General features: G+C 37.6%; 1 protein-coding gene and 1 long non-coding RNA gene across 4 annotated transcripts in view; one reads left to right on the forward strand and one right to left on the reverse strand.

Annotated features, from left to right (window-relative positions):
- Positions 1 to 27430, forward strand: part of PCSK2 (proprotein convertase subtilisin/kexin type 2) — a 258472-nt gene that overhangs the window by 23407 nt on the left and 207635 nt on the right. For 2 of the 3 annotated variants that reach the window (NM_001201528.2, NM_002594.5), the window contains one exon: positions 10727 to 10831. The exons of the other annotated variant lie outside the window; for it this stretch is intronic. In NM_001201528.2, the coding sequence (NP_001188457.1) occupies positions 10727 to 10831 (105 nt within the window). The remainder of the gene's footprint in view (positions 1 to 10726; positions 10832 to 27430) is intronic. 3 annotated transcript variants of the gene reach the window in all.
- Positions 1 to 27430, reverse strand: part of LOC105372546 (uncharacterized) — a 94422-nt gene that overhangs the window by 17037 nt on the left and 49955 nt on the right. The window contains exons 3-4 of the long non-coding RNA XR_007067540.1: positions 15736 to 15773; positions 14551 to 14625 (exon numbers count right to left, since the gene is read on the reverse strand). This is a non-coding gene — a long non-coding RNA (uncharacterized LOC105372546). The remainder of the gene's footprint in view (positions 1 to 14550; positions 14626 to 15735; positions 15774 to 27430) is intronic.

The raw sequence follows: 27430 nt of genomic DNA on the forward strand, positions 1-27430 counted from the left end.
AAAAAAAAAAGTTGCATAAATAGCACACAGGTACACCTATGTTCATGGCAGCATTATTCGCAATAGCCAAAAGGTGGAAGCAAATCAAGTGTCCATCAACGGATGAATGGATAAACCAAATGTGGTATACAGGGTGGAATATTTAACCGTAAAAAGGAAGGAAATTCTGACACATGCCACAACATGATGAACCTTGAAGACATTGTGCTTAAGTAAAATAAGGCAGGCACCAACAGTCAAATACTGTATGATTCCACTTATATAACCTAATTCGAGAAATCAAATTCATAAAGACAGAGTGTAGAAAGGTGGATTCCAGGGCTGGGGGGGGAATGGAGAGTTACTGTGCAGTAGGTACAGAGTTTCAGTTTGAGATGATTAAAAAGTTCTGGTAATGGATAATAGTGATAGTTGCATAATGTGAGTGTACTTAATATCACTGAACTATTCACTTAAAAATCATTAAAATTGAAAAGTTGATGTTATATATATTTATCACAATAAAAACATTACTTTTAAAAAGAAGCAGAGTTTCCATATACCCTTCTTTATTCAGCTTCCCCAAAATTAACGTCTTAGGTAAACATAGCAAAATTACCAAAGGCAGGAAATAAACATTGATATAATACTATTAGCTACAGGCCTTATTCAAAATGTTCCAGTTGTCCCACTAGTGTCCTTTTTTCTGATCCACGATTCAATCCAAAATATGATTATATTTAATAGTTATGTCTCCTTAGTTTCCTCTAATTTGGAAAAGTTCTGCAGCTCTTTTTTGTCGTTTATGAACATGATGACTTTAAAGAGTACTGGTCAGTTATGAGTTTGTCTGATGGTTCTACCTGAATAAATACACGTTATGTATTTTTGGTGAGAAAATCACATGAACAATGTGCCCTTCTTAGTGCATCATAGCATGACTCATCACTGGTGAAGTTAACTTAGATCGCTTGGGTAAAGTGGTCTCTGCCAGGTTTCTCCACTATAAAGATACATTTCCCATTGTTTATTATTGTATCTCACCTATTAATTTTAGCATCTATTGGAGATGTTTGCCGGCCACAATTACTATTATTATGACATTTTCTGAATGATGATATTCAATGTCCATCATTTCTTCTACATTTATTAATGGCAATTCCACTGTAAGGAAGAGTTTTCCCTGCACCTCAGTTTACATTTAATTTCTTATTTTAAAAAAACACTAAAACAAGCCAGAATCATGGTAAGATATGTTCCTCTGATACCCACTGGCACTTAACAACTCCAAATTTTCTTTCTAGTGTTAAAAATTCTAAGTTCTAGGCCAGATGCAGTGGCTCACACCTGTAATCCCAGCACTTTAGGAGGTCAAGGCGGGCAGATCACTTGGGGTCAGGAGTTCAAGCTCAGCCTGGCCAAAACAGCAAAACCTGATCTCTACTAAAAATACAAAAATTAGCCAGGTGTGGAAGTAGGTGCCTGTAATCCCAGCTACTCGGGCGGCTGAGGCAGGAGAATTGCTTGAATCCAAGAGGCGAAGGTTGCAGTGAGCCAAGATTGCACCACTGCACTCCAGCCTGGGCAAAAAAGTGAGACTCCAAAAAATTAAAAGTAAAAAAAAAATTATCAGATCCATAATGCTTCCTGCAATAAGAAACAAAAGGTCAAATTTCATACTACCTGATAGTGTTCAAAGTAGAAAGTTTTTGGAAAGCAAAATACAGCACACATACATTTTCTTCCTCTCCCCTCACTTTTTTTATTTTATTAAATCTTAATATTATCCAGAGTATATCAGCAGGGTTAAGTAGAGAAAACATTTAAGAACCATTGAGCCTGGAATTATCACACGAAATATTTATGTTAAATTTGCCATGGGGAATATGGCTTTTAGTGAACAGGAACTAAATCACAAAAGCTACAATGTTCTAAAAAATTTTTATTCACAGAAAAGACCCCTGGTTAAGTTGGCTATGCCTTGAAGATCATCCAGTATCTGCTGATCTGAGTCCAGGCCTGTCCCCCTGTGCCAGGGATGTCCCTTGAGAGCCTTTATCTGAGCTGCTCCAAGACGGTGTCATCAGTTGACAGACAGAACCAATATTATTGTAGAGTTTTATGTTAACACAGCTGTGAAAGCTGAAGAAATAAAACTTTTTTTTCAGCTAGCTACTTGTTTCTGTAGTCCATTGCTGAGTAACAAACCAACCCAAAATTTGGTGGTATAAAACAGCAATTTTATTATACTCATGAATGTGGGAATTTGTAATCCAGGCAGGGCACAGTGGAAATGGCTTGTCTGTGGTCCACGATGTGTGGAGGCTCAGTTGGGAAGACTCAACAGCTAGAGGATGACTGGTATGGCTGGAGTTGGAATCATGTGAAAGCTTCTTAATATGTGCATTTAACACCATAAATGGGATGACTTGAAAGCTGCGCTCTTCCAGGATTGTCAGGCAAAGCACTACACATGCTTCTCAATGTTGCCTGGGCTTCCTCATAACATGGCAGCCTGAGAGGAGTTGGACTTCTTAAATTGTAGGTCAGGACTTTAAGAGCAAGTGTGTTCCAGGGAACAAGGCACAAGTCTAATGGCCCCTTATGACTTAGATTCAGAAGTCACATGGCATCACTTCCACCATACTCGTAATTAAAGTGATCATGTTCCCCAGATGCAAGGGCTGGAATCATGGACCTCATTTCTTGATATGGGGAGTGTTTAAAAAAAAGCTGTGGCTTTAAACAGCCACACTCTTCAAAATTAAAACACTAGAAAAATATAATTTTTAACAGAAGTGGAAAAGAGTCTCTTAAGCTGACTGCCCTCCCCTTTCTCCAAAAAGTCTAAGAAATATTCCCCAAGTATCCCTCTGATTGAAATAACCTCTCCTTTGGGTTTCCATAGCAGCTTGTGAATAACTCTGCTACAGCACATTCTATTCTAACAATAAAAAGAGTAACTTATGCTTGAGTGCAAGATATTATTCCAAGCACTTTTCATGCATTATCTCACTTAATTCCCATAACAAAAACATTTTATAAGTAAAAAATCTGAGGCCCACAAGGGTTAACTAACTTGCCAAAGGTCATAGCGCTGTTACGAGGAAGAGCGAGAATTTAAACCAAGGCAATCTGGCTTCAGAACTCATGTTCTTAAACCACTCCACCACAGAGTACTGTTAATAGATTGCTGTGTGCAAATCTTCCTTCCCTGTGAATTGTGAGCTATTTGTAGGCTGAGACCATATCATCATTACCTTTGTCTCTCCAGCACCAAACACAGTGCCTGGCTTATGACAAGGAACACAAAAATACACAATAGAAAAATGCACAAAAGAGAAGAAACTAAAATGTCAATAAACATATGAAAAGATGCTCAAACTTTCAAAACAATTAAAAATATTCAAATAAGATGAAACATTTTGCCTATAAATTGGCTGCAGTTAAAATATCATTAATAAATGTCAATCCAGTGTTACTTAGAGAATGGGAAAAAGGATATTTTTATTCTTATTTACTTTTCGGTGAATCTTGGAATATACAACCTTATAGGGAAACTTTTCTGAAGTATCTATCAAAATGATAAGTGTTCATAATCTACGACTTAGAGATTGAATTCCTAGGATATATCCTACAGGAAAACTCTCATCTATACAAACAGTGATAATCACAAAGCTGTTCATCATAGCATTTTTAATAGCAAATTGATTAAGATATAGTTCACATGCCATAAAATTTATCCTCTAAAAATTTGCAATTCAGTGATCTTTAGTAGAGTTGCAAAGTTGTGCAATCATTACCAGTATCTAATTTTAGAATATTTTTACCACCCTTAAAATAAATCCTGGACCATTAACAATCACTCTTCATTTCTGTCCCCTCTCAGCCCCAGGCAACCACTAATCTAATTTCCAGCTCTATAGATTTGTCTATTCTGGACATTTCATATAAAGAAGTGATACAATATATGACCTTGCTGTCAGGCTTCTTTAACTTAGCATTAAGTTTTCAAGGTTCTTCCGTGTTTTTACCATGTGTCATTGCTTAATTCCTTTCCATTTAGAAATAATATTCCATTGTACATATATATCATTTTGTTTACTGTTTTATCAATTGATAGCAATGTGGGTTGTTTCTAGTTTTTGACTATCATGAATAATGTTGCTATAAACATTTGTATACAAGAATTTGTGTAAATGTATGTTTTCATTTCTCTTATATGCACCCGTACATGGAATTGCTGGGTCATATGACAAGTCTATATGTTTAACATTTTAAGTAACTGCCAAAGAGCTTTCCAAATAGGCTGTACCATTTTACTATCCCACCAACAGTGTATGAGGGTTCAAATTCCTCCCTATCCAGGTCAACACTTGCTGGTTTGGGTGCAGTTGGGCAGGGGTTGATTTTACCCATTCTAGTGTGTGTAAAGTGATATCTCATGGTTTTAACTTGCATTCTCTGATGTCTAATAATGTTGAACATCTTTCTGTATGTTTATAGGCCATTTTTACTTCTTCTTTGAAGAAATGATTCCTCTAATTTGCACATTTTTAATTGGATTTCTTGAATTTATTGTTGAATTGTAAACATTTTTAAAACATTCCTGTGCGAGATCCTTATCAGAGATATGATTTTCAAAATTTTTCTCCAATCTGTGGGTTGTCTTTTCGTTTCCTTCGCTATTTCTTTTGAAGTACAAATATTCTTAATTTTAATGAAGTACAATTTATGTTCTTACACTTTTGGTGTTGTATCTAAGAAAACATTGCCTAACCTAAAGCCATGAAGATTTATTTATATGTTCTATTCTAAGAGTTGTACAATATTAGCTCTTACATTTGGGACTACTAATCATTTTGAGTTAAATTTTGCATGTGGTATGAGATAGGAATCCAAATTCATTTTTTTCATGTGAATATCTAATTGTCCAAGCACAAAACTGTGCTTGAACAGACTATTCATTCTCATTGAATTGTTCTAGCATCCATGTTGAAAATCAATTGACCATAAGTTGATTATCATAAATTATTTCTGGATTCAGTTTTATTCCATTAAACTACTATATGTCTCTCCTATGCCAGTACCATACTACTTTGATTACTTTAGCTTTGAAGAAGTGTTGAAATTGAAAAATGTGAGTCTTCCAACTTTGTTCTTCTTTATTAAGATTATTTTGGCTATTCTTGGTCTCTTGAGTTTACATTTGAACTTTAGGATAAGCAAAAATGACAGCTGAGATTTTGAAAGTAATTGTATAGAATTTACAGATAAGTTAGGGAGCATTGCCATTTTAAAAAATCCGTGAACATGAGATGCTTTTCCATTTATTTAGATCTTTAATTTCTTTCAGTGATGCTTTGTACTTTTCAGTGTATACATCTTGCACTTCTTTTGTTAAATTTATTCCCCAGTATTTTACTTATTTGATATTATTTTAAATTGACTTATATTCTTAACTTTATGCTTGGATTGTTCATTGCTTGTGTATAGAAATATAATTGATTTTGCATGTTAATCTTATATTCTGCAACCTTGCTGACTCTTTTGTCAATTCTAATAATTTTTCTGGATTCATTATAAATTTCTATGTACAAGATATGTCTTCTGCAAATAGAGATAGTTTTTCTTCTTTCTTTCCAATCTTGATGCCTTTATTTCTTTATCTTGCCTGATGGCATTAGCTAAAATCTCCAGTACACTCTTGAATGGAAGTGGCAAGAGCAGATAACTTTGTCTTGTTCTGGTCTTAAGAAAATCATTCAGCCTTTCACCATTAACTATGGTGTTAGCTGTGAGTTTTTCATAGATAGATTTATCAGATTGAGAAAGTTCCCTTTCATTCCTAATTTTTTTTTTTTTTTGAGACGGAGTCTCGCTCTGTTGTCCAGGCTGGAGTGCAATGGCGCAATCTCGGCTCACTGCAAGCTCTGCCTCCCGGGTTCATGCCATTCTCCTGCCTCAGCCTCCTGAGTAGCTGGGACTACAGGAGCCTGCCACCACGCCCAGCTAATTTTTTGCATTTTTAGTAGAGACGAGGTTTCACTATGTTAGCCAGGAAGGTCTTGATCTCCTGACCTTGATATCTGCCCACCTCAGCCTCCCAAAGTGCTGGGATTACAGGCGTGAGCCACCGCACCCAGCCTTCATTCCTAATTTTTTAAAACGTATTTATTATAAAAGAATGTTGTATTTTGTCACATGTTTTTCTGCATTGGGATGTTCATGTGGTTTTTGTTATTTATTCTATTGATATATTTATTATAGTAATTGATTTTCAGATGTTAAAACAACTTTGCATTCCTGGGGTAAATCCTACTTGGTTATGATGAAAATCCTTTTTATATGTGACTGGATTCAGTTTGCTACTATTTTGATGAGCATTTTTTTGCCATATTTGTAAGGGATCACAATCTGTAGTTTTCTTTTCTTGTGGTATTTCTGTCTTTTCTTCATGTCAGGGTGACACAGGCCTCAATGAATTAGTTGGGAAGTGATTCTTCCTCTTCCATTTTTTGGAAGAGTTTCTGAAGGACTGGAATTATTTATTTAAACATTAGTAGAACTAATCAGGATTAGTAGAATTCATCAGTATTTATTTTGCAGAAAGTTTTAAAATTACTAATTCAATCTCTTTACTGCTATTGAGGCTCTCTGATAAATTTTTAAATTCTGTTATGTACTTTTTAGCTCCAGAATTTCTGTTTGGTTCTTTCTTCTTATTATTTTTATCTCTTTATTGATATTCTTTATTTGATGATTCACCATTCTAACACTTTCCTTTAGTTCTTTAGATATGGTTTCTTTGAACATATGTCTGGGTATAGTGATATCTATATATAATATCATGTGAATATTTATAGTTATATAGTTTAGTCTTTGTCTAGTAAGTCCAACATCTGGGCTTCCTCAGAGAGTTTTTATTATTTTTTCCTCTATGTGTGGAGCATATGTTCTTATTTCTTTTTGTGTCTCACAATTTTTCTTGAAAATTTGACATTTTAAATACTGTAATATGACAGTTTGGAAACCAGAGTTACCTCTCCCCAGGTTGTTTGTTGTTGTTTCTAGGTTTTGTTGTTTTTACTATTGCTATTTGTTTTCCTGCACCCCCACCCCTGTTTTTTTTTCTTTTTTTTTAATTATACTTTAAGTTCTGGGATACATGTGCAGAACATGGAGGTTTCTTACATAGGTATATACGTGCCATGGTGGTTTGCTGCACCCATCAACCCATCATCTACATTAGGTATTTCTCCTAATGTTATTCCTCCCCTAGCTCTGCAACCCCACAGGCCCCAGTGTGTGATGTTCCCCTTTCTGTTTCCATGTGTTCTCATTGTTCAACTCCCACTTATGAGTAAAAACATGCAGTGCTTGGCTTTTTGTTCCTCTGTTAGTTGACTGAGAATGATGGTTTCCTGCTTCATCCATGTCCCTGCAAAGGACATGAACTCATCCTTTTTTATGGCTGCATAGCATTCCATGGTGTATATATGCCACATTTTCTTTATGCAGTCTATCATTGATGGGCATTTGAGTTGGTTCCAAGTCTTTGCTATTGTGGAACTTAAATAAATTTACAAGAAAAAAAACCCATCAAGGAGTGGGCAAAGGATATGAACAGACACTTCTCAAAGGAAGATACTTACGTGGCCAACAAACATATGAAAAAAAATGCACCACCACTGGTCATTAGAGAAGTGAAAATCAAAACCAAAATGAGATACCGTCTCACACCAGTGAGAACGGTGATCATTAAACAGCCAGGAAACAACAGATGCTGGAGAGGATGTGGAGAAATAGGAATGCTTTTACACTGTTGGTGGTTAGTGTAAATTAGTTCAACCATTGTGGAAGATGGTGTGGCAATTCCTCAAGGATCTAGAACCAGAAATACCATTTGACCCAGCAATCCCATTACTGGGTATATACCCAAAGGATTATAAATCATTCTACTCTAAAGATACATGCACACATATGTTTATTTCTATTTGCTTATTTAATGTCTTTCTGGACTAATTCTATAAAGTCTGTAATTTCTATAATGTGCCATTGAATCTGCTTGGTTAACTTAATAGTTAGCCAATGACAGGGCAGAGGTTTTCTTAAAGACCTTGAATCAATAAGGCTTTTTGTTTTTACCCTTTGCTAAGGGGCTCTGTTGTGTATATCGGGACATATCCTCAATTCTCAAGCAGGCAGTTTTAAACTCTGCTATGGCCTTCACCTCCTGTTTTTAAAGAGACATCAAGTCAACTAAAGGTGAGCACTTAGGGCCTTCTTAGATATTTCCTGGTTGTGTGTACAGCTCTGCCCATGTGTATGGCCTTCTAAGTGTCCAGGAATATATTAGAGCTTTGTAAAGCCTTCAATGGACATCTTATTCCCTAGATTCTTTTACAAAGGTTTTTGTCCAGCCTTTTATTTGCCCCAGTTCATATTGCTACTTCAGGAAATTGCAACCTTAAAAATTTGCCACTGATTATTTTTGACAAATTCCCTGGGGAGTAGGACTTTTCCAACTGAGCAAACCCTGGGACAGATCAAATAACAACAAATCCTATAAATGGAACTTTTCCAGATAGCTTCCAGGCAATTATTTAGGGATGGAGCTTTTTAAATAACTCTAAACCCAGTCTGCACCCTCTACTATGTATTTGGCTACTGGTTTTCACAGCTGCTGTGATTGTGAGGTTGTTCATGTTCAAAGATGCTGCAGAGCTATGAAGAAGAGGATGGTCATAGGGCAATCTAAAACAGCACAGAGTTTGCCATTATCACTGAGATTCAACTTTTTTATTGAATAAACACCCTTCGGGTTGCTGCAAACCTCTTGTCAATTTCCTGTGTTCTGAATAAGTTGATTTGGCAATTTTTTTCAGAGTTCTATTTGCTTTTCTATAGCAGTAGATTTTTGAAGGTTCTTATTCTATCATACCTGAAGTTTCCCCACCCCAACACACAGCATTATCTTTGAATGTAAAAAAAAATGGAAGCATCTTAATATGCATCAATAATGGAAAGGCTAAATAAGTCATGGTATAGCCCATGTAATGGAATAATATGCAGCCATTCAAAAGAAGGAAGTAGTCTAGGTGATGAAGTAATATGTACCATAAACCCCATGACACGTGTTTACCTATGTAACAAACCTTCACATGTACCCCCAAACCCAAAATAAAAATTTGAAAAAAGGAGGTAGTAAGTGAAAGTCTGTGATAGCATCTGAGTGACAAGAGAAGAACCACTTTGCATAATATGTAGTGTGTGTGTGTGTGTGTGTGTGTGTGTGTGTGTGTTTAAGCAAGGAAGAAGATCTAAAACTCACTCATTTGACTATTAAGGAAATAATCATTTGCTCTTACAAGTAGGTAGGCCTAGAGGAAAAAAAACAAAAAGGTAACCTAACTCCAATACTGCCAAAAAAGAAAACATGAAGAATTTTTACTTTGTTATCTGTGTTTTTCGGTTTTCTAAATTTACTCTACATTTTCTTTATATTAAAAATAAAATAATAATAATAAATATTCTTTAAGAAATATTTGAGCCACACTGAGGTTCTATGTGATCTAAAAATCTCAGATTGGCCCCATCTATGTTAGAAAACTTTTCTATCAAATCAACCACATCTGCTTCCCTTTTCTTCCAAACACTGGATGGCAACACACACACCAAAACTTTCAATAGCCAATACTTTGAGTAGTGGAATGCTTTTTGATTTAGGGACTCTTTTGAGAATCTGATGAAATCATGTGTCCTATTTCCAAAAAAAGTACATATTTACATTATTTGTCTATAATTTGTAAGCATTCAATTAAATTAATTAATCAGGTTAAGAACTGCAAACAGCATGTCTTCATCAATGTGAAGACGTGGAGAAAAGGGAGAGATCTGGGAACTTCAAGCCCCTATATTTATACAGAAGAGAAAAAGATGCCCAGAGAGGAAACCACTTGCCCACAATCATACTGATGGTAACAGACCTGAGCCACATCCAGGCCTCCAAACTCCCAGGTCAAGGCTCTTCCCACCAAGTTACCTTGAATCATAGAACAAATGATTGGCCTGTTTAGGTTCTCCAAGACTCTTAGAGGCCCTGTGCCAAAGACAACCTCTCATTACTGTGACTTCTCTGACTGGTTCTGACCTGATTTCAAGGATCCTTGAGATAGGAAGGTAGAGGGAAACCAGACCTGCCATCCAACTGGTATTTACTAAATTTAGATGTTCACACTGTGCTCAGCCTGATAAAAGGCACCAAGGGTTCACAGAAAAAGCCCAAGACACAGACAGACAGTTGAAGATCTGTCACAGACAGCTATGAAGACATGACTACAAAACATCGCAGCATAATTCTGAAGCAACCAGGTGGTACCTGGGGTATGCACACTAGACCAAGGAAGGCAAGGAGAATCTGATGCAGGTGTGAATGTAAAGGCAAGGCTCCATGGAAAAGGAAAGGGAATCAAAGGATGTGCAGAAAGTTAAAAAATGGGGGAAAGAATAGAAGGTATTTGGGGAGCAGGAGGAGAGTGGACACCACATGAACAAAGGCAAGGAGAAGAGAAGGAGGACATTGATAGGGAAATAGAGGACCAGGACTGACAGGAGGTTTGCCAGTGGTTTCCTTGCATACTTCCCTACCCCATGGAGCCCCTGCAAGCAGCCCCAGCTTTGGTGTCCCTGTCCCTGGGCCAACCCCAGAAGCTAACTATGCCTATGTCTACTTGACTCTCCACAGCTTCCCTTTGCTGAAGGTCTGTACCACTTTTATCACAATGGCCTTGCAAAGGCCAAGAGAAGACGCAGCCTACACCACAAGCAGCAGCTGGAGAGAGACCCCAGGGTGAGTTTTCCCCAGAAACCTGCCTCCCAATCTCTGCTGCCATGGCTGAGCCCACCAAGGGGGTGTGGAGGGGCTGGCAGGGAATTTTGAAGTAAAGGCACTTAATGTACTATGATAGGGCAAATGAATGCTTTGCAGAGTCATATCAGGGACTCTCTGCTCCTTTGTCTCTGCATAATAAATAATCACAGGCCCCTTTGTATGGCTGGAGGAAGAGGAAATTGGGATACCACCCTTTTACTGGCTATCTTCTCCTGAGTTATTATTGGGTGAGGACTTCGGGTTGCCTGGGAACATGTTTTGGCCTGTGATGGATGGGAAGACAACAAGCAGTTTAATGAGTCATTTTACGGAAGGTTTCTACTGGTGAATCCACATGCTCAGAGGAGGTTGCCATGCCCCACGTTGTGAACGGAAAGAATGAGAGAGCCAGTCAGTGAGCAGCTCACAGCAGGCAGTGGACTTCTCAGTATCCATGCATGACTGTGGCCATGAGACTATCTCAGCCTTTCTTTTTATCCTATATTTTCTAGCACTGATCTAATTTGCCTTCATGTCTCAGCTGTCTACTTGATGTTCATCACCCCCATTTTTTTAATCTTCAGTCTTTACCTTGCTCTTGGACTCCAGGTCCCATTTTCTACTCCCTGTGATGGCTCAAATTCAACTTTCCCCCAATCAAACATATCATCTTAGCAACAAAGTGGCTTCTCTCCCAGTGTTCCCACTTCTTGCCTTTCAGAATAGGACCTTTAGTAATCATATTTTCCACCATCCCCCATACCTACACACTCATCCAATTGGGTAGATTCTGATTTCTGTTACAAGAATCACTAGGAAGGAAAGTATGTAATAACTCAGACAAGTTGTTCTCTGTACATTGAAGGCAGCGTAACCTCTTTCTCAGGACTCTCAGGGACCAGCTGATGAAAAGCGTGTCAGATGTTTGAGTTAAGGACTTTCACATGAGATTCTTTTGAGCTGATAGAATCTGAAAACTCATTCTTGTGGGGCTTTTCATGTGAACATTTCCCTGGGTTTAATTTGGGCTTCAATTAGGAATTCAGATAAAACAGTCTCTCAGCAGATTGCCAAATGACAGGCCACAGGCAATTTTTTCTTTAACTTCTCAAGAGTTCCCACCTTCTCTAAAGAGGAATTTCTGCTCTAGGAAGCCACTTTAACTTTACTTTTGCAGTAACAATTAAGCTGCCTGTGCTGCCAGCCAAGGCCAAGTATTCTTAAAGGATCTGTCATAGAAGCCGGCACCAAGACCTAAGGGAGAAGCTCTCTATTCTATGTGATAATAACCTTGGCCTTGGCTATACCAATTCATTACCTGGGGATACCCTTGGGCAGTCATATGGACAGGGATCTTGCCCTGAACCCAAGGTGGGCACCAGTAGACAAAGATCACCCTGGTGCACCGTGACATTTGTCTTCCCTACACTTCAACCCTATGCCATAACCTTGCCATTTATGGCCAGTTGTTTTCCTTTTAGTTATGTATTTTCTTAAAAGTCCCATTGGCTACTCTTCTTCCACGATTAAAGGCGTTGCTCCAAGATTATTCAGAAACATATAAACTGGGGGCAGAATGAAAGAGACATTTAAAAGGCTTGGGCTGGGAAAGAGAACTGAGGCACAGTAGAACTCAAAAGTCCCTGTTTGGTCAGAGAGACTATTTAGCACCACTGGCCTGAGCTTTTCCCATTCTAACACATATGATCTCTGAAATGCTGATTCTTGAAGTATACAGTGACACTTTTAAAATATAAAATGGGACTAATTGGGTAATAAAAAGAAGAGATCAGTCACTGGTGATTCTAATCATTTGTCTTTCTCTTCAAAATATTATCTGTTATCACCAAAAGGGGTGCCTATTTCCCCTTCATTATCTATTATAAGGATCCAGGTAGCCAATTGCCTCTATCTGGTAGTTGTAACCATCTGCCTTGCCCATGAAGACCAACAGAAAATAGCAGAAAAACTAAAGAAGACCAAGTATCCTATATCTTTTCCCTATCTTGTCATCAAGGTTAAATGCTGGGGATGTTGTCAATAATAAACTCATTCTAGGAAAATAAATAAAGCACAAAAATCTCATAATTTTTTTCAAAACGAAAAAAAAAACTGCTAATGATGACTGCCTTTTTCCAAAATATTAGATTAAGGTCTGAGTCTTTCCTGCATGATGTTCTCGTGGTTGTCTAATTTTGGCATCTGCTGATAGAAAAATAGAGTGGCAACTATTCTGAACCAAAAATCATTGACTATGAACAGTGCAAAGATAGTAAACTAAAGATTCTGCCTTGTGGGTTTATAGCTGTTAAACAAAAGGGTAAATAAGTCTAGAGTAGGAATACCCCAATTTGGGGGTTCTCAAACACATTCAAACAGGTTGCAAAAAGAAAAGTAAATGAAAGAAAAAGGGAGAGACCAAGTAGCCAGAAGGAGGTCCAGGCTTTTATGTCTTACATAGATGTGGCAAGTTATGCTTTATAAACACAGAATTTAAGAGTAAGTTGTTTTAGCATTCCCTGAAATGTACTGTCTCCTAGAACTGCTAACGTTAACTACGGTTGCAGCCCCAGCCCCCAGCTTCCTTCTCCTTCCTGTCCCTGCACCACTTCCCAGCCTGTCTCACTCACTGTCTACAGGCTTGTGGTAAGGAACACAAAGCCCAGGGAGGGTGGTCTGAGCTGCTATTCGCTTTCAGGGCTTCATCTACTGAGGTAGCTTTTTGACCAAAGAAACCTCCAAGCTCTGCTAGCAACCCAAGAAATAAAAAAGAAAAAGGTAGAAACCCAAGGTACTTTTTGGCTTTTTTTGACTTCAGACCAGAAATTTCAATGATGTTTGCCTCTCATGTAACAACTAATTTTTATGCTAAAAGGAAAACAGAAAAAAAAGGACTAGAAAGAGCTAAAGTGCTACTTTCCATGTGCTCATCTTTGTTCATCAATATGCAGACAATAGCTAAGAAAACAGATTCTGATGTAGACTGTGTTAAAGATGTTCGCTTCTCTTTCCAGTTCTTCCTGCTAAAAGATTAGCTGACTGCCAAGTATCATCATTTAGATGCTAAAAAGCAAAAGTTGTGTCTTGTTTATTTCAGTAATATCTTTGCACAGTGAGATGTTCAGGAAATGACTGAGCATGTCAAATGAATGAATGATTACTATTTTTTCTTCAGGGTTTTAATCCATGTAATAGTATTGCCCTTCTCATTTTATATTTTCCTCCGTATCCCAAAATTTGTCTCCATTAGGAAATAAAAGTACTATATAGTCTTCTCCCTAGCACCTCTTTTACATACATTCTTAATTGTGGGTAACAGAAACCAATGACTGTTTCATTACTTCCAAGTTTTATCACAAAGAATCCCATGAAGAACCAGTTCTTAATTTCCAAAACCCAATCTGCCTTCTTCCTAATCATATTCACAGTCGTGGTACAGGCACCAAAGCGGGACAATGTGTCTGGAAGGTTTTGATAATGAAAATAATTTGAAGAGGTAATAAATCAATTCAACACTGAAATGAAATAATGAAACTAAAAATACCTTCTCAACATCAGGGTCAAAAACAAATATTTTATGCCCAAAAGCTCTGTAAGATTTGTTCAACATTAGCTAGAACAATACCAACAAATCTTAAAGCCAAACCTATCTTCAGTCCCTGGTCAACATATCAAAACCTCATAAATTCTACAAGTACCTGAAAAGCTTCCGAAGAGTAGATTTATTTAAGATAATATTTGCTTCCCAGCTCTGTCAAACCATACTTGCACATCTGAAATAGAATATTAAAGTGAAATATATTTTAAAAACATGAAGGACTCATAATTCTATGAGTAACACACACTAGTCTTATGGAAGCAAAATAATTTAATTAAAAAATAACCTGAACTTCATTTCTTGAGAGAGGTTATATTTGAGAATTAAAAACATTTATTTCCTTTACTAAGCAATTTTACTAGACCATACAATTATTCCTCATTTTTAAACATGTTTCAGTTTTACAAGTCAGAAACTTCTATCAGTCCAATAAAAACTTTCCTTGCTTCTCTCATCTCAAAGAATGGATGATATTTCCTTTGTGTTCTATATTTAGAAGCTATATCTTTCTAGCTTCTTTCTTATCCAAATGTATCCACATGTTTAATAACCATAAAAGGCAGCCACACGTTCTGGTAGTGATCTGTTTTTGGTCTTTAAGGGTCTATTCTTGAATATATCTGTGGAGTTTTCAAGATACTGCCAATAACCCACAAAATTTAGCTTCACTGGATAATATAATCACTTCAGAAATCTCATAATACCACTGGAGCAAAAGAAAAGTTTCCTATTCTTTAAAATCAACTGGACATGATTTATATGATTTGTGTGTATTGTGGCCAAACTCTTCTTTCCTTTCAATTATAGTAGTTAATTATTTGATTATTTATTATAAATTAAAAGGGAAGAGAAGGGAAAATGCTGTTATCTTTTGGAAAGTCTATTTTCTTTTCTTTCTTTCTTTCTTTTTTTTTTCCTGAGATAGAGTCTCACTCTGTTGCCCAGGCTGGAGTGCAGTGGCACGATCTCAGCTCACTGCAAGCTCTGCCTCCCGGGTTCAAGTGTTTCTTGTGCCTCAGCCTCCTGAGTAGCTGGGATTATAGGTGCGTGACACCACACCTGGCTAATTTTTGTATTTTTGGTAGAGATACGGTTTCACCATGTTGGCCGGGCTGGTCTTGAACTCCTGACATCGGGTGATCCACCCGCCTTGGCCTCCCAAAATGCTGGAAAGTCTACTTTCAAATTGAAAATGTCACGGAGAAAAATCTCCTCCCCCTCTTTTGTCTTGACCACACCTTCCTCCAGTGGATAACTAATGGAATTTGAGGTGACCTCTACTTACCATCACCATGACTGCATGAGAGCCTCACAGTCTGGGGGCTGGGTAAAAATAGAAATTAGATAGTTTTAGTGCCTTTTTAAGGGATTTATACCCAAAGAATAGGCTGTTTTTTATCCTTATACTTGTTAACTCTAAGAGGATAAGGTCTGAGGTTGTGAGGTGCTGCTCTGAGAAACATATAGAAATTTTCCAATTTATCTTCCAAATGTTTTATTGAAGGAAAAAAATAAAGCATATAGATTTGATTATATTTTACTTATTAAGAAACATAGTCATGGTAAGTTTATTAATATTATGAGAAACACAAAAGGGAAAATAGCATTTTGTATTTTTCTAGAACTTTTTATTCTACAGGGCATTTGTGGCTGCTATTTCTTCATATTCTCATTTCCTTGTAGCATAAATTGGACAAAGGGTGGATTCTGAGTTCCCCAAATTCTCATGGTTTGTAAGGAGACTTAACCACTCCATGGTGCTGCTCTACACTGATTTGTATTCCATAATTTTCCCTGCTCCTCTGCACAAAGAGAATTATAGAGCAGGAAGAGTCTTAAGGAAACATTGATTCAGCCCTTGACCTTGAAGCATTAAAATATAATTTTACCATTGAGGCAAAATAGACCCAGAGAGAGAGAAGGTGACTTCCCTGGGGCCACACAGCTATAACTGATAGGAAGAAAATAAAACTCGTGACTCCTCTCAATACGAAGTCTGATTTAAATAAAAAACTAAGTGAGAATTGATACTGCTTATGAATCTGTCGTTCTTTAAACAATTGTTTGCACTAATTAGTCACTGAATTTTCTCAATTAAAAATAATGTGCTGAAAAGAAGTGAAGTTGCCTCCTGAGTTTATGTCACTTATGTGAATTCAGTGAGCTCAGCTATAAATGGAAAAGTGAAAAAGAAGAGGGAAATAAAAAGGGCGGCACTTGAGCTCACTGTTCTGCTCAATTTGCTTATGCCCTGGAGTGGCCTTGAACTGAAGGCAGCTGAGTATGCAGTTGGCCTCGGTTCCCTGGTGACCCTCACAGTGGAAGCATTTCACCTTTCTGGGGGTGAGCCTGTAGCATTTAAAGTTAATACTTTTGATACAAAATATTTCCTAAACGCAAGCTGACTTCTTCATTTGCTGTGAGAACAATGGGACACGACCAGGGTCCATTGTGAAAGGGAAATTCCACCCTTGTGATGTATTGAGACACAATATCAGTTTCTAACCCTTAAGGAGTTTTCAAAGTTAATTTTAACCATGCATAAGTTCCACTTTGCACACTTTAGAATTCACTCCCTAAGGCGTGATTCTTCTAGGAGAAATTAAACAAAGATGGGGTCTTCATTTTGGATTTCCCAGAAACAGACTCTGAGATGCAGAGTTGTATGCCAGAGACTTCTTGGAGAGCAAGGAAGAGAACACTGGGCAAAGGGAGAAGCTGAGCAAATGGGCTTTCAACAGGGGCCTCAGTCAATTTTACAGGAAACTCAGAAACAGGGGTGGCCCTTCAGAGTTACCCCAGTGTGAGGCAAAGGAACCGGACCTTTGTGCCCCCATAATGACCAGTTATTGGCATGGGTACTCCCTCAAAGGAAACATAGTCTTAGGTAAATCACGTCCTGCTACCAAAGGCAATTCTCAGTGAAAGAAACTCTGAGCCACATTTAGCAGCTGGAGGAAATGTGTGAGGGCCCTAAAGAGGAAATCTGGAGAGTGCACCACAGTTTTCATTACACCTGCCATGCCCACTTCACTCAATTTGTCTGTAAATTCACATTTGATTCAAGAGGCATTTTCTGGGATCTTTGACCTTTCTGGAAGAGTGGACATGGCTTCCCAGATCAGGAGCTCTCCGTGCCCAATCCAGCTCCCCATCCACCCCTGCTGCCCTTTTCCAGAGATTGAACTGAACTAAGAGGGGAAAACATGAATCTGTAGGCACATGAGCTGGACCATATTTTGAACACAAATAGTGAAGCCAAGAGACCCAAGTGAAACAGTTTCTGACCTAGCCTCCCATCTGTGGCCAAATTCATTTTCTAGATAACATGCCAAGAGGTCAGCGGGTGTAAACCATTCATGAGTGATGCAAGTTGAGAGTTACTTGACAGCATCAGGAAAAGGAGAAATGCAATGGGGGAGGTATGCATAAGAAGCAGGGCAGAGGTATCTTCATGGATGCCCCAACCTGTGGGAAAAATTCATCTGTTCTAATCCTCTGCTTTCAGAATGTGGCAGGGAGGACTTTCAGCATCTCCTCTGGGCATTGCAGATATGCCTGGCTTCCCAACTCAAAGAGCTGCTGCTGGTGCTATAATTAACTATTTGTGGGGAACAGGGGAGAATTATTTACTACAGCTACAGAAAGGCACAGGGAAAGCTGCTAATGAGTAAGCCTGGTTTTTTTCTAGATGCTGTTTTTTTCTAGATGTTCATTTTTAAATGATGGGTACTGTTCGTGCTGTCATGCTTCCTAAAGGAAAAGTGGGAACTCTCTGGGAGGCATCATGCTAGCAAAGCCAGAGATCTCTTGGAAGTTTTAACTTTCTTTGGGAGAATTCTTACAAGCCCTGGTATAGAGAAAAGTTAACACAGAGAAAATTGGTGGCTCTGTATCGTCTTTACAATTCACAAGGTGAAGAGTCTCTAATGGTGGGCTAGCAAACCTTTAGGACTTCCTGGGAAAATCTTAGATGTTTGAAGGGCAAAATTCTCCTGATCTGCCTCACCTGATTCCCTCCCCAACCTTCCCCAAGATGCAAAAGGAAATGCATTTATATATCCAATGTGTATATATATATATATATATATATATATATAATGCATTTATATAGCCTCTATTATATCTTCTAAAAATGATTATATGTGTATGCTTATTAAATTCATAATGTAACTCTCTTATTTAGTTGTTGGCTAGAAAACCAGCATTCATTCAGCAAATAGTTATCAAGTCCAAACTATATACAGGGCACTCTTCTGCATACTGAAATATAACAGTGAACAAGACAAAGTCCTCCTCCCAGGGGGCTTGTATACTAGTGGCAATGAAGGAGAGAAACAAAAAACAGATGACCAAGCAATTGTATGAATGGTGGTCAAAATGCTATGAGAATGAGTAGAGCAGAGTATGGGAAGAGGGAGAGCCATAGAGGGGTGTTTCTATTTTATAAAAAGCATCCAGGTTTGGCTAGTCTGGGAAAGTGGCATTTAAATATAGACCTGAAGGAGATGAGGAAGGTATTCATGTGGATATCTGGAGAAAGGGCACTCCAGACAGAGGAACCACCAAGGAAAAAGGCCTGGAATCCAAGACACACCTGGTGTGTTCCAGGAACAGCAAGAATGCGAGTAAAGCTGCAAAGGAATGAGCCAAGGACAGTGGGGAAGGAGATGAGGTTAGAGAGGAAAAATAAAGCAAGATCATGGGCGACATGATAAGCTGGGGAAAGAACTTTGAATTGACTCTGAATGAGATGTGGCTTCTGTGCCTATGGGCAAATAATAGACAATGGGGTAGAGGTATGGATGAGGGACAACTGGACTAGAGAGATCCATGCAAGGCGATTGCAATATTTCAGAAGAGAAAAGCCAGTGGCATAGGCCAGGATAGAAGTGGTGGAGGCAGTGAGAAACAAATCAGATCTGGGAGTATGTTGTGAAGGTAGTCTTCAAATTCGTTGATGCATTTGCTGATGGATTAGATGAGGAATGGGAGAGGAAGTGAGAAGGCAAAGGTGACTCCTAAGTTGTTGGCCTGCATTACTATAGAATGAAATGGCACTTATGCATATGGACAAGATGGTGAGAGGAGCAGGTTGATGGGGAGTGGTTAGGGAATTAAGAGTTTAGTTTTAAGCACGTTAACATTTGAGATTTGTATTAAGTAACCAAGTGGAGATGATGTGAAATGAACAGATGGACTTAAGGATCTAGGAGAGAGGTCAGAGTTGGAGATATAAATTGAGAGGCATCCATCTATTGTTAGTGTTCAATGCCAGGAGACTAGTTGAGCTTACCTACGAAATGAGTGTAGATATAGAAGAGAAGATTTGTGGGACTGAGCCCTAGGGTACTCTAAGATTTAGAAGTCAAAGAGATAACTGGGGACCAGCAAAGGAGACAGAAAAGCAGCAAGTAATCTAGAAACAGGATCAGAGGTCAAGAGAAGACCAACTTTAGCCATTGTGTTCTAGCTCGTCTACATTTTACCATAGTAACTTGGCCATCCCTATAATTATTTCTTATTAGAGGTATCAATGTTTCTTCACTTTTCCCCTCTCTGATCTATTTTTCAAACGCTTTCTCAACGGATATTGAAATACATGGTTCACACATGAACTTATGAAATTAAAGGATACTGATGTGTTTGGGCTGGGTAGTGTGCTTTAAAGCAGCAGGAGGTCACATTTGACTCAGAATGTTGAGAATCTAGCTCTTAAACCTGCAATCCCAACTAGGCACTAACTCAGAGCCAAGACCGCGTTCTGCAAGCTGCCAGGTGAAGTTACCAGGAAACAGCCTCTGTTTGACATGTCAAGGGAAGAACCTGAATTGGGCACCTCTTTTTAATTTTGAGAAACTATAAAAGCCATGAGAAAGATCATGTTTGACTGTAAACCAAAAAGAAAAAACCTTACCCTCCAATTAAGGAAAATAAAATTATAAGTTGTTGTTGATTTAATTCTGATCATATTTTCATAGATTTCAGAAAGATATAGTTTTTAAAAGAATTTCCTGTTAAGATTCAAAATTTTTTCTAGGATATAATTTCTCACTCCTCAAACCTCTGCTTCAAAATAAATTTTATTCAATATTTAGCATAAGGAGACTATAAAGTTCCTTAATGGTGACATAAATGAACAGTTATAATCGTATGTCTATCTAGCTACTGAATATTTCTAAGATAACGTTTTGTGAGGCAAAAGTGGTTTGAAGTTGGTGATGCCTCAAAAAAAATTTTTTTTAATACTCTTTAGAACTCTTTCTGGGTATTTTAAAATTGGTTTAGCTATTTTTCCTTTTTGATGCCTATTGACATGTTTGTGATCACATCTCTTTCTATAAACAGGTTTCACGGTCTTAAAGCCAAACCAAGGGAATTTTGAAAATGAGTGGAATTGAATTCCTGCCATTTCCAGTAATTTCAAAGCTTTATGGGTTCAGGAGAGGATAACAGTGCAGCCAGGTCTAGAAATGAGTAAACAGCAGTTAGGCAAAGAGATTCATGTCTGAATAACAACCCAATTGCTGGAGTTTATCTAATTGGTTTGCCATTATCTGTACCAAAAACATTGTGTTTTTCATCTTCTCTACGATGAGCATGTCCCATTTAGCAATAAAGAACTTATTGCTTGAGAGAAAACAGGTAAGACAAAATAGTTTTCCATTCCCCCTGAAAAGGGAGAGCAGTCCATCCCAAGTAAAGAATAGTTTAATGGATGTTAATTTTTAAGGACAACTTAGAGAATCAACATGAGAAAGTTTCTTCTCCCAACAGAAGCAAAGAAAAGCAATTAAAACCTATTGTGTGGAAAGAGACCCAAATAATTGTCTATTAGGGAGAAAAGGAACATGATAGAGTCCAATTTGAGGTCATTCTTGAGTTCCAATACTTACACTGACACCAATTAACTGTGCTCTCCTTGAACAAACCGTTGTTTCCCCCAGTCTTCAGTTCTCTTGTCTGTACCATGAGGAGTGTGGACTAGTTAGTCTGTAAAATGCCCTCTGAGGTCCTAAATCTGAGATTCCAGGGACTAACCTGAAGCCTCTCCAACTGGTTAATATCAAAGCCACGACTAAAACCCAGCAATTCTAACCAGTTTGTGATCCTTCCTTTACATGTCTTTCTTTTCATCTGAGAAATAGGGCTTTTTCTTTAAACCAATGCTATAAAGTGTTTGCAAGAACTAGCATTTATATGTTGGTATCCTCAACTTATAGAACACAATTTCAAATCCTGTACTGTTCAAACCAATTCAATAGTACCCTAAAATTCCATTTCTTGTCTCGGGGGAAATATTAGATTATGAGATAGAGGTTATTCATCCACTTCAAAGATAATAGCTCCTCTATCATGTTTTATAAATTGGGATTTGGTTTAAGATTTCCCTGGTATCATGGGTGTGAAGGAGTGGGGGTCCTTAAAATAAAAAATAATGTTTGAAAACCTTTGATAGCTAAACAAGTTCGATTCTTTAGCCTAGTCAATCAGTGTATCCAACAGGGATAACAAGCTTGATGCCTACACAGGCCATGCAAATAAATTACAAATTGAGGTGGGTCAGTTGTAAGCAAAACAGCTACTCAAGCAAGAGAATAAACGGCAAAATGATCTTCTCCTCTGTGTGAGGAACACAACAGAGAGTGGTGGGGACTGTGGTGAACCTGAGTGTACACACCCTCTTAAAAGGAGGAAGCGGATTCTTATTCTCAGCTAATTGTTACCTCCAATAATGGACGCCCTGGTTGCCACATCTACAATTTTGAAGAAAAGTAGCAACTACCAATCTTTGTAAAGATTCTTTTATCTTTTTAAAAAAATTAGTGATTAAATTAAAATTTCTTAACACACTGTCCAATCTAAAGAAAATACATCATCAGAACAAATTTTTCCATGCACTACCATTTTGCAGTCCCTACTCTACAACACCCCAGGACAGGATGAAACCTGATAGAACACCTCTATGACTAGTCCGTGACTTCATTATTTGCCAAGGTAGTCCACATAAAAGTTCTTCCTTAAGGGAATTCCAAAGCTACTTCCTTGTAGCGTTGGTTCATAATCCACATTCTCCTTTCTGAGGCCAAATTAATCTATCTTCCATGTGAGAACCCTTCAAACATTTGAAAATAGTTATCATGCCCCCTGGACCTTCCTAGAGTAAGCATTCTTAGTTCTTTCAGATGTTTTCATTGAATTTGGCACTTCTTTCCCATGCCTTCCTGATTACACCTCTCTGAACATTACTGGAGAACAATACATTATAACATCCAGGTCTGCTCTGATTATTTCAGAGTAGTATTGCATGCTCACTTCCCGTATCTCCCACATTTTAAAAGCTATTCTTCTATTAGCACATCTTAAAATCATTTTAGCATTTTGTGGAAGTCATAGATCTCACATTGATTAATAGTGAACCTACAATTAGCTAAAATTTCTAGGTTCTTCTAAAATACACTCATAATCCATCCTTGAAGGATCGAGGTATTGGTTCTAAAACAAGGAACCTTTAAAAAGGATTTATTTTTTGAATTTTCATCTTATTAGAGTTCATTCTGACCTGTCAAGATTTTATTAGATTTGGATTCAGTCTCCTTTCCACTTTCTTGTCATCTATGATTTTGATCAGCATCAATATCTTCAACAGTTCTTAAGAAAAAAGTTAAATAGTACAAAGAAAAATGACAAAGTTCAGAACCCTCTGCCAGGATGATATGAATCTATTAATATAGACTCTAAGGAGTATTTCACACTGACCCCATATTAAAAGGAAATTCTAAAGCACCCAAAGTTCTGAAAAATCATTCAAGTTAAATGAAAAAACAGTGTCTCACCAGGGAGGCTATTTGAAGACTGTTTATATGGCTTAACTCCAACACTCTGAATCTGGTTGATTTGTGTGTGTATATGGCTCTCTGAGAAATCAGTTTATTTGCCATGGAACAATCTAATTTGGTCATTCACATGACTAAAAGTACCAGACCAACATGTTTTCAATCCAGTCCCTTGAGGCAATTTGAATTCTGTTGATAACTTGTCCACACACCTGCTACTGATGGATGTTTCGTCATGAAATTTTAATCAGAGAGCCAAAATCAATGGGTAATTGTTAATTTCAAGGGTGCCAGGTGACACTCAAGTGTAGACCAAACCAAATTTTTATAAAACTTAATAAAGTGATTTCCTTTAAATGAGTAAGTCAAGATATCTCAGACATAGATTAATTCAGCTAAGGATCATATTCTCCAGAGCTGAAATATTAACTATCATTGAACTTCTATCAGTGCTTCCAAAATAATTATTCTAACACTTATTCATGTGACATGGGCAAGTCATTTAACCTTCACTAATTGTCTTCATTTTATCATCTCTACCATTAAATAACAATGAAAGTCCAAATGACTGGAAATAAATTGCCTTAATTTTTAATCCCTATCATGGAATTACAATGAAAGTGCAAATGTCTGCCAATACATGCCTAAGACTTCAAAGCTGGAAGTATGACTCCATCTAAAGTACATGTTAATTTCACAAATACATTATAACTTTGCCAAAGCAGAAAAGGTGATAGTGTCACCTACTCCTTTTGCATCTTCTTAGTTCTCTACTTGTTTTCCTTGCCTGCCCCTACTCCATGAAAAATATGGGTGTGAATTAAATCAGTGTTCCTTAAACTGTGTTACGCTGGAGTCCTTGGGTTTTCTTCCAGAACGTTGTGAATAATAAAGATATTAGTTAGGATAAACTAGATTACGCTGCAGTAACAAATTAACTTTTAACTCCCAATGGTTTAATATACAAATGTTTCCTTTTCACTGTGCTACAAGTCACAAGTCCAGCATGAGCTGGATAGATTTGATTAATATAATGCTGTTGAAAGTTTCACCATCTTGAAACGCCACTATCCTAGCACATGAATTCCAGGACACTGGAAGAGAAAGAGGAAGTGAAAGCATAATAAGCTCTACCCACTTGTAAATGCCTCAGCTTGAAAATGTTACATATCACTCTGCTCACCACCCATTAGCGAGAACTAGGCAAAATGAATGTCTTAATGAAAAGAAGCTAAGAAGTGTGGTTCTCCCATGTGCTCAGGAAGGAGAGACAAACTGGATTTGGGGAGCAGTAGAAGTCCCTTGCATAGTGTATTTTTTATTCAAAACAACAATAAACATGTGAATAAAAGCCCATATTCTATTATTCTGGGTGATCCTTGGGATTGAGACTTTCCCATAAGTTCAGCACTCATGTTTATAATTGTATTGGCAGCAATACTGCCATCCAGTCTCTGGCTATTGAGAAAGGGTGGGATACACCCCGGGATGCTTCTGTTGTCCTAAAATGATTGGAACATCTCTCTTCATGTGTGACCTTCTGCAATAGGGCCTGGCTCCTCCTCTATCCATAGGTAGAGTCTATTTATTCACCCATGTGAAGGCTCTGTAACATTTTATCTGGTAGAACGTGGTGGGAGTGATACTGGGCCAATTCTGGGCATAGCCAGCCCCTACCTGACCTGGTAGCTTCTACTCCTTCCTCAGAGAAGCTAAAGAATTGTGATTACCCTGAGAACTCCATGCTGTGAGTAGGCCAAGCCAGGTGGAGAGATTGATATACCGTGGGGAGAGAGAGAGGCCAAGGAGCACCAAGATACCAGAACTATGAGTGAAGAAGCCATCTCAGAAGTGGATCTTTTAGCCCCAGTCCCAACTGCTGTTACCTGGAGACAAACTACCCAGTCATGTCTTTCCTGAATTCCTGACCCAAAAAATCTTGAGCCAAATAAACTGGTTGTTTTAAGCCATTAGTATGTGGTGTAATTTATTATGCAGCAATAGATAACAAGAAGACAAACGAATTTTCCCAGCAGTGCAGAGGGGATGAGTGGTGGAGAACTGAGTCATGGCATAAAGCACATTAAAATGAACCCCAAGACACTACACCCCAGCAGTCTACAGCATAGTCACATTGTGTTTTAATCAGCATTGCTTCTTTGGCTATTATTGTTTTTGTGGTGTTTATATTTAACTCGTAAACTTGTCTTAGTTTTATAGTTGTATAGGAACCATAATCATTAGGAGTTGTTATTCTATCTTATTTTGTGCATATTATTTATACATATATATATATATATATATATATATATAATGTTGGGCGACTAATGAAAAATGGTTTTCTTATAAAAGAGTCCCTTTCTTGTTTAAATTTATTCGAGTTTAAGAAATCAATGCATTTGAAAAGATCTAAAAGAAGTAGGCTTTTCCAAAGTATAAACTTTGGCATGAAACAGAAGCAATGCATCCCTTTTGGTGCAGTGATATCAGCAGGTAACAGCATACGTAGTGAGAGGAGAATCAAAGGAAGAATTAGGAGTTCCGAGTTCTAATCACAGCTCAGCCATTTATTGTCTATGTGGGCTCCAGGTAACCACTTAGTTTTATGGTCCTCAATGTCCCCATCTGTGAAATGATTAATGACATTACCTGTGCTTATTACATGGGGTTACTCTGGCAATCAAATATGATAGAAAGAAAGGTTCGAAAACTGTGGACTTTTACTATTGTTCATAGAGATTCAGGCTAGAGTCTTAAGTTTTGTGCTGACAAATCTAAAAGTAACCTGACTAAAAATGTGTAGCAACTGAGTTTAAAAGAAGCTCAAATAAAATTATCTTTAAAAACTCAATCCAATGTAAGATTAAATAGGAAATACATTGGATTTACATTTTCTTTGAAGTATAAGGAAACGTGCAGTCTGCTGGGATCCATCACACTGCTTGGTCTGGAAAAAGAGGAGGGTGAATTCAGAACTCTTGTCCCTCTCTAAATTCTTGTAACCTTCTAATCTCTCTGGAGTGTAAACTTGTGGCCAAGATTTTGAGCTCTGGATAAATTCTAGTTTTAATCTCAGGTCCACCACTCACTCACTTGCCAGTTACATAAGTTTACGTTGTTATTTAACATCTCACAACCACATCTATACAATGTGGGTAATAATAATATTACTTATCTGAAAGGTTGATGTGAGCATTAAATGAAATGATGCTAGGGTAAACGTTCAAAAGATGACAGCCATGACCAATAATATTTTGTTCTCTAGCATTCGATTACATGGTGACTGATACTGATCTCTGAAACTTGCCTATGTAGTAGCATTTTTGTTCACTGCTGTCCTTTAGTAATTCTACATACCATAAAAAAATTAGTTATGCATGGTGGTTTTATTTTCATCTTACCAAAATGATAGTTTACAGTTTTAAAAATCAAATGCAAGCCTTATAATTAAAAACAGAAGCATTTTGCTCCAGCTTTCTCAAATCCCTCAGAGGCATTATCCACCAATTCTTTAAGTGTTTCTTGTGCTAATTAACTCCACATTTTAAAATAATATGTGTATGCTGAAATGTGTGGATTTGCTTCATTTCAGATGTTGTCTATGGGCTTTCTTCTATGGAAGATGAGATTTAACTTTTAAATTCAACACACACACACACACACACACACACACACACACATACCATGTTTATATTTTTTCTGGCTTTTGAATATAGATGTATCACAAGATGGGGCTAGGTTAATATTCAGTGTTCATATTATTGTGAGTCCTTAAGTACTATTTACAGCTGAGCCATTTATACCAATAACATCCCTTCCTCTCTCAAACAGCTTTTTGTTTCCCTGTAGTTAATAATGGCCCTGTGATGCCCTCTCTCACCACTCCTATTCAACATAGTGTTGGAAGTTCTGGCCAGGGCAATCAGGCAGGAGAAGGAAATAAAGGGCATTCAATCAGGAAAAGAGGAAGTCAAATTGTCCCTGTTTGCAGATGACATGATTGTATACCTAGAAAACCCCATCGTCTCAGCCCAAAATCTCCTTAAGCTGATAAGCAACTTCAGCAAAGTCTCAGGATACAAAATCAATGTGCAAAAATCACAAGCGTTCTTATACACCAACAACAGACAAACAGAGAGCCAA

This window comes from Homo sapiens, chromosome 20 (assembly GCF_000001405.40).
Source record: "Homo sapiens chromosome 20, GRCh38.p14 Primary Assembly".
NCBI lineage: Eukaryota > Metazoa > Chordata > Mammalia > Primates > Hominidae > Homo > Homo sapiens.